The sequence below is a fragment of the Homo sapiens genome, chromosome 16 (genome assembly GCF_000001405.40).
Source record: "Homo sapiens chromosome 16, GRCh38.p14 Primary Assembly".
Taxonomy (NCBI): domain Eukaryota; kingdom Metazoa; phylum Chordata; class Mammalia; order Primates; family Hominidae; genus Homo; species Homo sapiens.
Genome location: NC_000016.10, coordinates 30,206,990 through 30,222,224, shown reverse-complemented (window position 1 = coordinate 30,222,224; position 15,235 = coordinate 30,206,990). Strand labels below are relative to the sequence as shown.

Sequence of the window (15,235 nt, the reverse complement as noted above, 5' to 3'; positions counted from 1 at the left end):
CTGTAGTCCTAGCCACTTGGGAGGCTGAGGCATGAGAATCGCTTGAACCCAGGAGGCAGAGGTTGTAGTGAGCCAAGATCACGTCAGCACACTCTAGCCTGGGTGACAGAGTGAGACTCTGACTCAAAAAATATAAATAAAATAAATATCACTTACATGAGATATACCCAAGGGGTGGTCTACAGAGACTTGGAAGCAGTGGTTATTGCAACAGGGGCACGGAAGTCATCTGGCTATGCCAGGGTGCCCAGGGGATACTCGGGGTGGGTGGCATGGTGCTGCTGGGGACTCATCGCACAGGACGCTCTGATTGACGCACTGCCAGGAGTAGCGCTCTGTCTTGGGGCTGCAGCCGGCCTCCTCAGCTCGAGTGTAACAACAGTCGTGGCCATGGCAGCACCTGCGGATGTCACATGGGCAGGACAGCAGGTGGGTGAAGCTCTCTCCTGGCCCTCCTCTCTTGCCAGGACCATGGGTGACTGAAGACCCCCAGGGAGGCACAGCATCCTCTTATCTAAGATTTTTTTTTTTTTAAGAGACAGGGTCTTTAAAAAAGTCCTGCAGTCTGCAGTCGCCCAGGCTGGACTGCAGAGGCACAATCATAGCTCACGGCAGCCTTGAACTCCTGGGCTCAAGCGATCCTCCCACTTCAGTGTCCCAAGTAGCTGAGACTACAGGCACACGCCAGCATGCCCGGCTGGTTTTTTAATTTGTATTTCCTTTGAGACAGCATATCTCTCTGTCGCTCAGGCTGGGGTGCAATGGCTCAATCAGCTCACTTTAGCCTTGAACTCCCGGGCTCAAGTGATACTGCCACCTCAACTTCCCAAGTATGCTACTACAGGAACACAAACTCCTTTTTTAAATTTTTTGTGGATATGGGGTCTATGTTGCCTAGGCTGGTCTTGAACTCCCAGGCTCAAGCAGTCCTCCTACCTCAGCCTCCCCAAATGCTGGGATTACAGGTGGGAGCTACTGTACGCCTGGCCTTATCTAAGCTGTTTCCCTGAAAATGCCCGTCTTGGGTAATGATTCCATTGGCCCCACCATGCCCTGTCCTGCCTTCCTGGCTGTGCCCAAGCTTGGTCCCTGCCTGCCTGCCTCACTCTCTGGGTCTCGAGCTCCTGTGACACATGACTCCTCTCTCTTCCTGGAGTGATCCAAGCCCTGCCACTTCCTGACTTTGCCCACACTGTACCCTCTGCCTGGGGCAACTTCATGTCTGCCCATTGTCCCTTAAGCCTCAGCCCAGGCACAAGCCCCTGCCTCCGGAGGTCATCCAGGCCTCACCAGGCTACACCCTCTCGTAAAATTGGATTCCCTCCCTTCAGGGCAGGTTTATAATGAAATCCTCCTCGGAGGCCAGGTGCGGTGACACCCATCTGTAATCCCAGCACTTTGGGAGGCTGAGGTGGGAGGATCACTTGAGGCCAGGGGGTCGAGACCAGCCTGGGCAACATAAGAGAGACTCTTGTCTCTATAACAAATTTAAAAATTAGCTCACCAGGCCAGGCTCAGTGGCTCATGCCTGTAATCCCAACACTTTGAGAGGCCGAGGCAGGTGGATCACGAGGTCAGGAGTTCGAGAGCAGCCTGACCAACATGGCGAAACCCTGTCTCTACTAAAAATACAAAATTAGCCAGGCATGGTGGCACACACATGTAATCCCAGCTACTCGGGAGGCTGAGGTAGGAGAATTGCTTGAACCCAGGAGGTGGAGGTTGCGGTGAGCCAAGATCATGCCACTGCAGTCCAGCCTGAGCAACAGAGCAAGACTCTGTCTCAAGACAATAAAAACACACAAAAAATTAACTCGCCATGATGGCACATGCCTATAGTCCTAGCTACTTGGGAGGCTGAGGTGGGAGGATTCCCTTCAGCCCAGGAGTTTGAGGCTGCAGTGAGCCACTATGATTGTGCCACTGCACTCTAACCTGGGCAAAAGCGAGACCCCAGGCTAGAGTGCATGATTTTGGGTCACTGCAACCTCCACCTCCCAGGTTCAAGTGATTCTCCTGCCTCAGCCTCTTGAGTAGCTGGGACTACAGGCATGTGCCACCACGCCTGGGTAATTTTTGTATTTTTAGTAGAGACAGGGTTTAGTAGAGACCATGGTGAAACCCCGTCTCTATAAAACAAATCTCTACTAACCCCATCTCTACAAAAAACAGCTGGGCGTGGTAGTGCACACCTGTAATTCCAGCTACTTGGGAGGCTGAGGCACGAGAATCATTTGCATCTTGGAGGCAGAGTTTGCAGTGAGCTGACATCGCACCACTGCACTCCAGCTGGGATGACAGAGCAAGACCCTGTCTCAAAAAAAAGAAAAAGGAACAAACAACAGCAACAACAAAAAAACCTCTGTGTCAATCACAGCCTTCAAGCTAGGGGAGAGGCGGCCGAATTCTGCCCTCTGCTAACTAACTATAGCTTTGTGGAAATGGGTGAGTGGCATGCCCCTGTGAGCCTCAGGGCCCCATCTGTAAAATGGGCATAACTGTCATGCCCGTCTTTAAGAACAGCCTTGGGGGTAAATGAGTGGAACTCATGGAAAGATCTCAGCCCACAACCTTCCACAGAACAGGCGCTTCTCACACAGTAAGTAGCAGGAGTGCAGAGGCTGCAGGCATGAATCCAGCCAGACTGCCTGGGTTCAAGTCCCAGCTCCCACGTCTTGGTAACTAAGTGGCCTCAGACAAGTTACTTAATATTTCTTTTTTTTTTTTTTTTTTTTCAGAAGGAGTTTTGCTCTGTCACCCAGGCTGGAGTGCAGTGGTGTGATCTCGGTTCATTGCAACCTCTGCCTCCCGGGTTCAAGCAATTCTCCTGCCTCAGCTTCCTGAGTAGCTGGAATTACAGGCACCTGCCACCACACACAGCTAATTTTTGTATTTTTAGTAGAGACGGGGTTTCACCATGTTGGCCAGGATGGTCTCGAACTCCTGACCTCATGATCTGCCTGCCTCAGCCTCCCAAAGTACTGGGATTACAGGCGTGAGCCACCGCACCTGGACACGTTACTGAATATTTCTGTGCCTAGGTTTCTTCATCTGTGAAATGGGATTGTTGTGAGAACACAAAGGGATTCCCAGGGCAGTTCCTAGTGCATAGTCTGGCTGCCTTTGTGTGTGTGTGTGTGTGTGTGTGTGTGTGTGTGTGTGTGTGTGTGTGTGTGTGTGTGTGTGTGTTTAATATAGAGACAGGGTCTCACTCTGTTGCCTAGGCTCGTTTCAAACTCCTGGGCTCCAGTGATCCTCCTGCCTCGACCCAAAGTGGTGGGATTACAGGCATGAGTCAACACACCTGGCCACTTTATATTATTATTATTTTTTTCTTTTGAGACAGGGTTTGGCACTGTTGTCCAGGTTGGAATACAGCGGTGCAATCTCAACTCACTGCAAACTCCACCTCCCGGGTTCAAGCAATTCTCCTGCCTCAGTCTCCCCAGTAGCTGAGATTACAGACGCCTGCCACCACACACAGCTAATTTTTGCATTTTTAGTAGAGATGGGGTTTCACCATATTGGCCAGGCTGGTCTTGAACTCCTGACCTCAAGTGATCTGCCCACCTCGGCCTCCCAAAGTGCTGGGATTACAGGAGTTAGCCACCGCTCCTGGCCAATTTTTTAAGGCAACGTTTTCAGCCCATGGCCAGGGTAAGGGGCAGCTGGTACCAAGATCTGGCTTCACTGGCCATGTTATCCAAGAGGCCTCTGCCTGCCTGCAAAGTAGTACTGCACACTGGGATCTCCCTGGACCAAACCCCAGCTTCAGTTTTGGGTACTTCCTCATAAGCCTTGACTACCCCAGAGTGTGAGGGATTTTGTAGCCTGGTCCCAGGCATGCACTCACCAGTCAATGGCATCGCAGGGCTGGCCATGGCCTCCCAAGCCACAAAAGGAACCATATTTCATATAGGCGATGGGAGTCTAGGGACTAACACAACCCACAATTCCTGCCAGTTCCAGGATCCCACGCCGGTGCACACATAATATCCTGGAGGCTGGGGGGTAAACGAAGGTGACAGGCTGCAGGTCAGGGCTTCCCAGACCCCTGGGAAGGGCATGAGCCTGAGAAGAGCCTAGGTGTTACAGCCTGGCTGTCTGGGTTTGAATCCTACTTCCTAGCTGTGTGACCTTGGACGAATTCCTAACCTCTCTGGGCCTTGGTTTCCTCATCTGTGAAATGGGGGGTAAGCTGACTTCAACTCATATGAATGAAATGAGATAATGAGTATAAAGCCCCTGGTGCATGAAAAGGCTATTATAATCCGGCTGGGCTCAGTGGCTCACACCTGTAATCCCAAGACTTTGGGAGGCCCAGGTGGGCAGATCACCTGAGGTCAGCAGTTCAAGATCAGCCTGGCCAACATGGTGAAACCCCATCTGTAGTAAAAATACAAAAATTAGCTGAGCCTAGTGGTGCACACCGGTAATCCCAGCTACTAGGGAGGCTGAGGAAGGAGAGTCACTTGAACCTGAGAGGTGAAGATTGCAGTGAGCCAAGATTTTGCCACTGCATTCCAACCTGGACGACAGAGCAAGAGTCTCAAAAAAAGAAAAAGAAAAAAAGGATAACTATTATAATCAAGGTCCTCAAGGTAGCCAAGAAGGGAAAAAAGAGTCGTGCATGAAACGTTTGTCCAGTTCCCTGTGTTGGGCACTGGGCATCACGGATGTGCCTACAGGTGTCTGTCACCAAGGTGGGCTCCTCTGTGGCAGCTCCCGGGCCCTGGCACTGCCCTGTGCTCATGACTTCCCCTCCAGACTCAGGGCCCTTGGTATCTCCTCTTATTTTCACTGCCAGACAGGAAGGCCCCTTGGCCTGAGTCCAGCCATTTTTCTAGATCCTGGCACAGCTTGGACATGTAATGGTGCCCAATGCATGTGACTGGAACCCCTGCATTGGACATGAAGGAAACGAGGCCAGCCGGGAAAGGTAACCCCACATTCCCACAGCCAGCAGGAACCCGAGCAGAGGCTTCAACCCAGGCTTCTGACTTGCAAAGCAGTGCTCCTTCCTCCTTACACAGTAACAACAGGGGAAGGTGGCCTTCCGGGTTGCCAGAGCCGAGTGGTACCAGCAATAGAGTGGAAACTCACACACAGGCTTGCCTGCTTCCTGGGTTAGGGTTAGGGTTTATATGGCTCCGGGAGGTTGATGCATTGTGTTTGATCATCCCCCCTTTTTTTTTTTTTGAGACAGAGTCTCATTCCTGTTGCCCAGGCTGGAGCACAGTGGTGTAATCTTGCTCACAGCAACTTCTGCCTCCCAGGTTCAAGCAATTGTCCCGCCTCAGCCTCCCGAGTAGCTGGGATCACAGGTGTGCGCCACCACACCCAGCTGATTTTTGTATTTTTAGTAGAAACGGGGTTTCACCATCTAGGCCAGGCTGGTCTCGAACTCCTGACCTCATATGATCCACCTGGTTTGGCCTCCCAAAGTGCTGGGATTATAGGCGTGAGCCACTGCGCTCATCCTGATCATCTTGTCTCTCTTTTTTTTTTTTAGAGACAGGGTCTCACTCTGTCACCCACACTGGAGTGCAGTGGCACAATCATAGCTCACTGCAGCCTCCAAATCCTGGGCTCAAGCGATCCTCCTGCCTCAGCCTCCAGACATATGGGCATGCACCACCATGCCCAGCTAATTTTTAAATTTTTAGTAGATCTGGGGTCTCACTATGTTGCCCAGGCTGTTCACAAACTCCTGGCCTCAAGTGATTCTCCTGCCTTGGCCTCCGAAGGCGCTGGGATTCCAGGCATGAGCCACCATGCCCAGTCTCATTTCTGTTTTATCTAGAACATGTTTTCATCACACTGACTTTTTTGAGAAGTCCAGGCCAGATTTAAATTCCATTTTGTCTTTTTATCGGTAGAAAAGTAGCATATTTATGTTGCAGGACAAAGATGAATCAAATAGGAAGAAAATGTAAAACACATTTGGGGCCAGGCACAGTGGCTCATGCCTGTAATCCCAGCACTTTGGGAGGCCAAAGTGGGCAGATCACCTGAAGTCAGGAGTTCCAGACCAGCCTGACCAACATGGAGAAACCCTGTTTCTTTTTTTTTTTTACTGATCTCCAGAACTCTTTTTTTTTTTTATTGATCATTCTTGGGTGTTTCTCGCAGAGGTGGATTTGGCAGGGTCATAGGACAATAGTGGAGGGAGGGTAAGGTCACAGATCAACAGGATCCCAAGGCAGAAGAATTTTTCTTACTACAGAACAAAATGAAAAGTCTCCCATGTCTACTTCCTTCTACACAGACACGGCAACCATCCGATTTCTCAATCTTTTCCCCACCTTTCCCCCCTTTCTATTCCACAAAACCGCCACTGTCATCATGGCCCGTTCTCAATGAGCTGTTGGGCACACCTCCCAGCCGTGGTGGGAGACATGCACCACCACGCCTGGCTAATTTTTGTATTTTTAGTAGAGGCGGGCTGGCCAGGCTGATCTGGAACTCCTGACCGCAAGTGATCCACCCGCCTTGGCCTCCCAAAGTGCTGAGATTACAGGCGTGAGCCACTGCACCTGGCCCATTGATTTAAAAATATATATATATATTTAGTTTTAATGTATTGAGGGGGTATAAGTACGAGTTTCTCACATGCCTATATCGCATAGTGGTGAAGCCTGGGTAGTTCATTGATCTGGGTTATCAGAAAACTGTGTTCAAGAGGACTTGTTAGAGTTTTCTCCATGCAAAGCAAATTTGGGGGCAGGACGCAGTGGCTGACTGCTGTAATCCCAGCACTTTCGGAGGCTGAGGAGGGCGGATCACGAGGTCAGGAGCTGGAGACCAGCCTGGCCAACATGGTAAAACCCTGTCTCTACCACCACCAGTTAGCTGGGCGTGGTGCTGGGCGACTGTAGTCCTAGCTACTTGGGAGGCTGAGGCAGGAGAATCGCTTGAACCCAGGAGGCAGAGGTTGCAGAGAGCCAAGATGGCACCACTGCACTCCAGCCTGGGTGACAGAGCCAGACTCCATCTCAAAAAAAAAAAAAAAAAAGGTATTTACTAAATTTTAGTATCAAAATAACAAATTATGTATGTTTTGGGGAAAGAAATCTGGTTATTAAATCTTCATTTCGATTGAGTTCTATGTAAATTAAAATTCACTCTAAGAACTATTTTTTGGTGTAAAACTTCATCTGTCCAAAAGTGTTCAGGAGATAACCTGAGATTTTAGAATAGAAATGTAAACAATCAAAACCAAGAAACCAAGTTTCCTGAAACTTGCATTAAAATATTAGAAATATTAATAATTCTAAAATGCCATTTTGCCACTGTTATTCATATTAACCAAAATATCAGAGAAGTAATATTTCAGACTAGATCAGGAAAAAATGTCTGAATACAATTAAAAAATAATCATTGATAATTTTTTTAAAAGTGGGTCTATAAATAGTAGTAATTCCTCAAAATGAAGTGCATAATTGGCACATCAAATATTTTGTCTGCAGGCAATTCTGTGCATTTTAGGTCAAAATGTGGTCCCTTTAAGAGAGTCCTTGACTTCTCATTTCTCCGGGGACCCTTCTGTGGCACTGGTCCCCTTTGTATATAAAATGGTGAAAGCTGACTTGAATGTGCCGTCACCGCTCTGCTGGGAAAAACAGATGAAGGTGGCCCAGAGAAAACCACAGACTCCAGCGTAAGCTGTTCTCCATTGAACAGGAACAAGGCTGAAGTTGGTTAGCTGGAACAGGGAGAGTGAGTCCATTAGGGCCACATGGAAACCAAAGCCCTGAGTTCATATTACTGAGCAGGCGGAACTCACCTGTACTAAGGGCCAGTACATCAGTCCGCTCTGGAATTAAAAAAAAAAAAAAAAGCAACAACTTAATTAGAATGCCTTTTATTTTTTATTTATTTATTTTGTTTTTTATTTTTTGAGACAGGGTCTCACTCTGTTGCCCAGACTGGAGTGCAGTGATGCAATCTTAGCTCACCGTAACCTCTGCCTCCTGGGTTCAAGCAATTGTCGTGCCTCTGCCTCCTGAGTATCTGCGATGACAGATGCACACCACCTCACCTGGCTAAATTTTGTATTTTTAGTAGAGACGGGTTTTCAACATGTTGGCCAGGCTGGTCTCGAACTCCCGACCTCAGGTGATCCGCCCACCTCGGCATCCCAAAGCGCTGGGATTACAGGTGTGAGCCACTATACTCGACCTAGAATACCTTTTAGCCACACAAAACAATTGCACAGTTCATTCCATAAAAGAGTAAGAAATACTAGGCCAACAAGATGCCAAGGTAGTATTATATTTCAGACTAAGCTGATTAAATTAGACTACTAAGGCCTCTAGAGTGAGGGGGTTGGGGAGTTGTGGGGAAAAAAGCTATTAGGTACAAGACATTTCTATTAATTATATTTTTAACATCAGAATGAAAAGTCTACTAGAATCAGTACCAATTCTGGAAGAGAGCCGCTTTGGAAATGACAGCATGTATTTATGCATTGCAATTTCCTGGTTACCATGAACAAATGATGCAGGAATATATTTGTAAATACAGAATCATCAATGAATTCTCTTTTTTAAAATTAATTATATATATATTTTCTGAGACATGGTATCTCTATGTTGCCCAGGCTGGTCTTGAACTCCCAGGCAAAAGCAATAGTCCCACCGCAGCCTCCCAAAGTGCTGGGGTTATAGGCATGAGCCACCTCATCCTGCTGAATTATTTTATTTATTTATTTTGTTTGAGATGGAGTCTCATTCTGTCGCCTAAGCTGGAGTGCAGTGGCAAGATCTCGGCTCACTGCAACCTCTGCCTCCTAGGTTCAAGTGATTCTCCTGCCTCAGCCTCCTCAGTAGCTGGGATCACAGGCACCTGCCACCATGCTCGGCTAATTTTTGTATTTTTATTAGAGACAGGGTTTCACCATGTTGGCCAGGCTGGTCTTGAAGTCCTGACCTCAGGTGATTTGCCTGCCTCCTCCTCCCAAAGTGGTGGGATTACAGGCGTGAGCCATTGTGCCCAGCCTTGAATTGTTAAAACTATATACCAAACCATTGTTTATGGAATGATTTTCAATAATATATTCAAACCATGGGATGCTATAGCACAAGTTTAGCTGAAATTTTCATATATTACAAAATATCTTAGACATTTTAACAAGCTTTATTCTATACAGTCCGATAAAAAAGTCACCATTATGAATTTTTTTTTTTAAAAAAGTCTTGGTATGTAAATTATATCTCAAAAAAAAGCTAGAGGATTTTAAAATAGTTCTTAAAAGTGGTATTACAGACTTATTTTCTTCTTTTTACTAATTTGTATTTTCTGAAGTTTCTAAAATGAACAATTGCAATAAAAGCTTTATAATATTTATGTTTATATTTAAAAGTAGATATTACATATAATGTGTGTGTGTATATACATATATTTTGTTTTGTTTTGTTTTGTTTTATTTTGTTTTGTTTTTGAGGTGGAGTTTCGCTCTTGTTGCCCAGGCTGGAGTGCAATGGTGCGATCTCGGCTCACTGCAACCTCCACTTCCCGGGTTCAAGGGATTGTCCTGCCTCAGCCTCTGAGCAGCTGGGATTACAGGTGCACACGACCACGCCCAGTTAATTTTTTGTATTTTTAGTAGAGACAGCGTTTCACGATATTGGCCAGGCTGGTCTTGAACTCCTGACCTCAGGTGATCTGCCCACCTCGGCCTCCCAAGGTGCTGGGATTACGGTTGTGAGCCACCATGCCTGGCCATAAAATATATTTTACATATATTTTTGAGACGGAGTTTCGCTCTTGTGCCTTTCAAATTCCCGAGTTCATGGGATCCAGCCACCTCGGCCTCCCAAAGTGCTGGGATTACAGGCGTGAGACACTGAGCCTGGCCCTTAATTTTTAAATATACTTTAAATATAAAATATACCCCTGTAATCCCAGCACTTTGGGAGGCCAAGGCAGCCGGATCACCTGAAGTCGGGAGTTTGAGACCAGCCTGACCAACATTGAGAAACCCCATCTCTAACAAAAATACAAAAATTAGCAGGGCGTGATGGCAGGAATCTGTAATCCCAGCTACTCAAGAGGCTGAGGCAGGAGAATTGCTTGAACCTGGGAGGCAGAGGTTGCAGTGAGCTGAGACTGCACCATTGCACCCCAACCCGGGCAACAGAACGAGACTCTGTCTCAAAAAATAATAATAATAATAATTTAAAACTTCAGCAAAAATAATCAGAAGACTAAACTCATCCAAATATGGCTTTCCTTCTTTCTTTTTTTTTTTTCTTAATAGAGATGAGGGCTCACTATGTGGGCCAGGTTGGTCTTGAACTCCTGGCCCCAAGCAATCCTCCTGCCTCAGCCTCCCAAAGTGTTAGGATTACAGGAGCCACTGTGCCCGGCCATGGCTTTATTTCTTATGGCTGTGTTTTTTCCTGTCAGAATATAGTATCATGTAGTAGTATATTTTGTTCTCAAACCGTTCCCCCACAAAAAGGAATCAGGATGCCTCAGAGAATTGGCTGATTCTAGGGCCAGGGCAGGGCAGGTGCAAGGTACAAGATGGTCCTGGAACACACTGTCATGCCAGGAAGGAAGTGGCTTATGAAAGAAGAAAAGGAGAAAGAAGATGGGTGATGTCACAGGACACAGGAACCAGCGTGGAGGGACTCCAATTGGCCGAATCTGGGACATGAGAGCACTAAAAATAATTAAACCCTGTCATGAACTCTCCTCTGTGCTTCGGCAATCTCCCTCTGAATAGGCCAAAGGCATCTGGCATTCAACATTTCCCAAACTGAACTCACCTCATCTTTTTTTTGAGACAGAGTCTTGCTCTGTCACCCAAGCTGGAGTGCAGTGGTGCAATCTCACCTCACTACAATCTCTGCCTCCCAGGTTCAAGTCATTCTCTGTAGGGACCAGCCCCACAGGGTCGGTGGGTCTCTCCCTAAGTGCGGCAATGAGAGAGTGTAGAAATAAAGACACAAGACAAAGAGACAAGAGAAAAGGCAACTGGGCCCGGGGGACCACTACCACCAATGTGCAGAGACTGGTAGTGGCCCCGAATGTCGGGCTGCGCTGTTATTTATTGGATACAAGGCAGAAGGGGCAGGGTAAAGAATGTGAGTCACCTCCAATGATAGGTAAGGTCACGTGGGTCATGTGTCCACCGGACAGGGGGCCCTTCCCTGCCTGGCAGCCGAGGCAGAGAGGGAGAGGAGACAAAGAGAAAGACAGCTTATGCCATTATTTCTGCATATCAGGGACTATTAGTATTTTCACTAATTTACCACTGCTATCTAGAAGGCAGAGCCAGGTGTACAGGATGGAACATGAAGGTGGACTAGGAGTGTGACCACTGAAGCACAGCATCACAGGGAGACGGTTAGGCCTCCGGATAACTGCGGGCGAGCCTGACTAATGTCAGGCCCTCCACAAGAGGTGGAGGAGCAGAGTCTTCTCTAAACTCCCCCAGGGAAAGGGAGACCCCCCTTTCCTGGTCTGCTGAGTAGCGGGTGTTGTTTCTTGACACCTTTTGCTACCGCTGGACCACGATCCGCCTGGTAACGGGCGTCTTCCCAGACGCTGGCGTCACCGCTAGACCAAGGAGCCCTCTGGTGGCCCTGTCCGGGCATAACAGAAGGCTCGCACTCCTGTCTTGCAGTCACACCTCACTATGTCCCTTCAGCTCCTGTCTCTGTATGGCCTGGTTTTTCCTAGGCTATGATTATAGAGCAAGGATTATTATAATATTGGAAGAAAAAGTAATTGCTACAAACTAATGATTAATGATATTCATATATAATCATATCTAAGATCTATATCTGGTATAACTATTCTTGTTTTATATTTTATTATACTGGAACAGATCGTGTCCTCTGTCTCTTGCCTCGGTGCCTGGGTGGCTTGCCGCCCACAGAGGAAGCTCTAGGGCCTGCCTGTGCTGTCTCCCTGCCAGCCAGCACCCTTTGTCTCACCATTTTCTGCTGTGACCCCCAGCCTCCACCCAGTGGGCTCCTCTCCCCGATGCTCCCCTCCTTGAGCCCCTCAGGCCCCTCACATGTGGAAACCTCCCAGGCCGGCCAGGCCTGTGATCCACCTGCCCAGCCACAGTCCATCTGGGCTCCAGGACAAGCATGGTCCATTGAGCAACTGAGCTGGTACTGGGGGCCAGAGCCTGGTGTGGGAATGAACAAAACTCTGATGATTCCGCAGAATGAGGAGGGGACACCATGGCTCATGCCTGTAATCCCAGAGCTTTGGAGGCCCAGTGGGGAAGAATCACTTGAGCCTTGGACTTTGAGACCAACCTGGGCAATACAGCAAGACCCCATCTCTAGAAAAAAAATATTTAAAACTGAGCTGGGCAGCCAGGTGTGGTGGCTCACACCTGTAATCGCAGCATTTTGGGAGGCCAAGGTGGGGCGGATCACCTGAGGTCGGGAGTTCAAGACCAGCCTGACCAACATGGAGAAACCCCTTCTCTATGAAAAATACAAAATTAGCAGGGTGTGATAGCGCATGCCTCTAATCCCAGCTCCTTGGGAGACTAAGGCAGGAGAGTCGCTTGAACCCAGGAGGCGGAGGTTGCAGTGAGCTGTATCATGCCATTGCACTCCAGCCTGGGCAACACGAGCAAAACTCCGTCTCAAAAAAATAAAAAATAAATTAAAAATAAGTTTAAAAAATTAGCTGGGCATGGTGGCTCTCTCCTGTACACCCAGCTACCAGGGAAGCTGAGGCGTGATTATCATGTGAGCCCATGATTTTGAGGCTGCAGTGAGCTACAATTTGGCCACTGCACTCCAGCCTGGGTGTCAGAGCCAAGCCTTGTCTCAAAAAAACAAAAATAAAAAAGAAAGAAGGGAAGCCAGGCTGGAGTTCCCCTAGTGAAACTGGATATCCGTGGGGAAACAGCCAGTATGGCAGAGGCCTTGGCTGCTGGAATGTTGGCTCCAAAAGCTGAGCAGGGTGAGGGCGCCCTGGGCCATTCCACTCTAGTACTCACCTGAGCTTTCTGGAATTTTGCTCCCTTGCCCTGGTGGCTGAGTGTGGGGTGTGTGGAGCTGTTGTCTGCCCTGAGGGTGTGGTAGGTCTAATGTGGGAGGGATCCGGAGTCGGGACCAGACTTGGGTTTGCTCCCGGAAGGAAGGGGTGGGGTTGAGAACGAGGGAGCTTCTCTATTAGCCTCCTCAGCACCACAGCTGCAGCCAAGCTTAGAGTGATCTGCAAAGCCAAGATGTGAGTTTAGTGTTTAGTTGTGATTAGAAAGCACAAGAATAAAAGGCAAAAGAGCCCAATGTATAATTTATTTATTTATTTATTTTGAGATGGAGTCGTGATCTGTCGCCCAGGCTGGAGTACAGTGGCAGGATCTCGGCTCACTGTAACCTCCACCTCCTGGGTTCAAGCAATTCTCCTGCCTCAGCCTCTTGAGTAGCTGGGATTACAGGCATCCGCCACCACACCCGGCTAATTTTTGTATTTTTAGTAGAGGCGGGGTTTCACCATGTTGGTCAGGCTGGTCTTGAACACCTGACCTCAGGTGATCCGCCTGCCTCGGCCTCCCAAAGTGCTGGGATTACAGGCATTAGCCACTGCTCCTGGCGGCTTTTTTTATTTTTTGAGCTGTCACCGGGCTCTTGAGCTGCCCTCTGAACTCCACCCTGCAGGGCAGGCCAACAGAAGAGCTTTTTCTAATTGACCCAGCCAAGGGAAGTGAGCCGGTGAGTGGGGAAAAATGGGTACTCACTAGACAGAAACAGGGCAGGTCATGTTTCCCAGGGCAGTCTTGAAGGCGCCAATGCTTCTAGTCCAGTGCAGCCTGCATGCAAGCCCCCAGCAGCCCAGGCATTCCAGGCTCTGACCACAGGGCCAGTCTGGAGTAATATGTGTGGGCAGAGTTGAAGGGGCAGCGGTGGAGCAGAGCATGGATGCATAGAACAAGAAAGAACAAAGACGCTGGAGTCCCATCACCCTGGGAGCCAGCCCAGTTTCATGGCTCTCAGGGGAAGTTACAGAGCTTCGCTAGAAGATCCTAGAAAAACAGCAGCCCGTGGCAGGTGCTTTTGTTTCCCTGGGTTTGAAGGAGGCTCCACAGACAAGAGACCAGAGGAGGTTGAGGCTTGGAAGCCACAGGGCCCTGTGGAAGGAGGGCATCCCCCCACCCTCCTCATTCTTTGTCTTCACTATTTAAAGTTCAAGGTCAAGCTGGGGCCAGGCATGGTGGCTCACGCCTGTAATCCCAGCACTTTGGGAGGCCAAGGTGGGCAGATCACGAGGTCAGGAGTTCAAGACCAGCTTGGCCAACATGGTGAAACCCTGTCTCTACTAAAAATACGAAAATTAGCCAGGCACGGTGGTGGGCACCTGTAATCCCAGCTACTGGGGAGGCTGAGGCAGGAGAATTGCTTGAACCCGGGAGGCGGAGATTGCAGTGAGCTGAGATCACGCCACTGCACTCTAGCCTGGGTGACGCAGCAAGACTCCAACTCAAAAAAAAAAAAAAAAAAAAAAAAGGTCAAGCTGGGCACGAGACACGAGACAGGTAACCATTTGAGTAAAGGTGAGTCTCCCAAGCCTTCCAAGAATTGTGTGAATTCAGAGGCAAGCGGGCAGGTGGGAGTGTGGGAGAAGCTGAGGCGTCCGGCTTCCAGGCAGAGGAGAAGCTGCTCACATGCTAGGGCCACAGGCCCCTCCTCCCTCCTCTGGAAGCCCCTTGACTGGCAGGACCACAGGCAACTAGCTCTGCCTCCGCCCTCAGCAACCAACAGAAGGCACCCTTGACTCAGACTTTGTATTGCATTCCAGTAAAAAGCCCCAGACCCGCAGTGGATGGCATAGAAAAAAGGTGGGAGGGGGGTTACACAGCTCAATCCTGTGAGGCAGGGGCGACGATTATTCACATCTTAGAGATGAGGAAATGGAGGTGGGGGGGGGGTAAAATCCTTGCCCCCAGGGACTAAGCTGGCCAGTGTCCTGTGAGCATGGGCAGTGATTGACTGAGTCACAGCCTCACCCCTGCAGCCAGATCTGAACTTCCTCATAGCTCAGCAACCCCCGCCAGATCACTGAATCTCTGCAGGGCAAGCCCTTTACTCACTCACAGTAGAGGCCAGGACCATCGTCTGTTATTTTATTAACTGTTTCTTGGCCATTGGCTCTATGTGGGACTTTGTTCTACAGCAGTGATGAGAGCTGCCCCCAGGCAGTTTAGTACACAGGTTCGGAAGGGGTTTAATGAGATGCATAAAATTTGTAGTAT

General features: G+C 48.8%; 1 long non-coding RNA gene and 1 pseudogene across 2 annotated transcripts in view, besides 1 other annotated feature; both read right to left on the bottom strand.

Moving 5' to 3' along the window:
- The window catches only part of LOC101929894 (uncharacterized), a 36,477-nt gene extending 23,391 nt beyond the window's left edge, over positions 1–13,086 (bottom strand). The window contains exons 1-3 of one of the 2 annotated variants that reach the window (XR_002957884.2): positions 12,980–13,086; positions 7,787–7,816; positions 157–400 (exon numbers count right to left, since the gene is read on the bottom strand). This is a non-coding gene — a long non-coding RNA (uncharacterized LOC101929894). The remainder of the gene's footprint in view (positions 1–156; positions 401–7,786; positions 7,817–12,979) is intronic. The other variant, XR_001752367.2, reaches the window with a different exon arrangement.
- PLA2G10JP (phospholipase A2 group XJ, pseudogene) lies at positions 295–4,005 on the bottom strand (annotated as a pseudogene).
- Positions 14,168–15,166: an enhancer, noted in NCBI's record as "H3K4me1 hESC enhancer chr16:30218380-30219378 (GRCh37/hg19 assembly coordinates)". NCBI's record gives its function as "activates a minimal SCP1, AML or CMV promoter by ChIP-STARR-seq in naive H9 embryonic stem cells {active_cell/tissue: H9 hESC(naive)}" and the evidence as "EXISTENCE:reporter gene assay evidence [ECO:0000049][PMID:30033119]".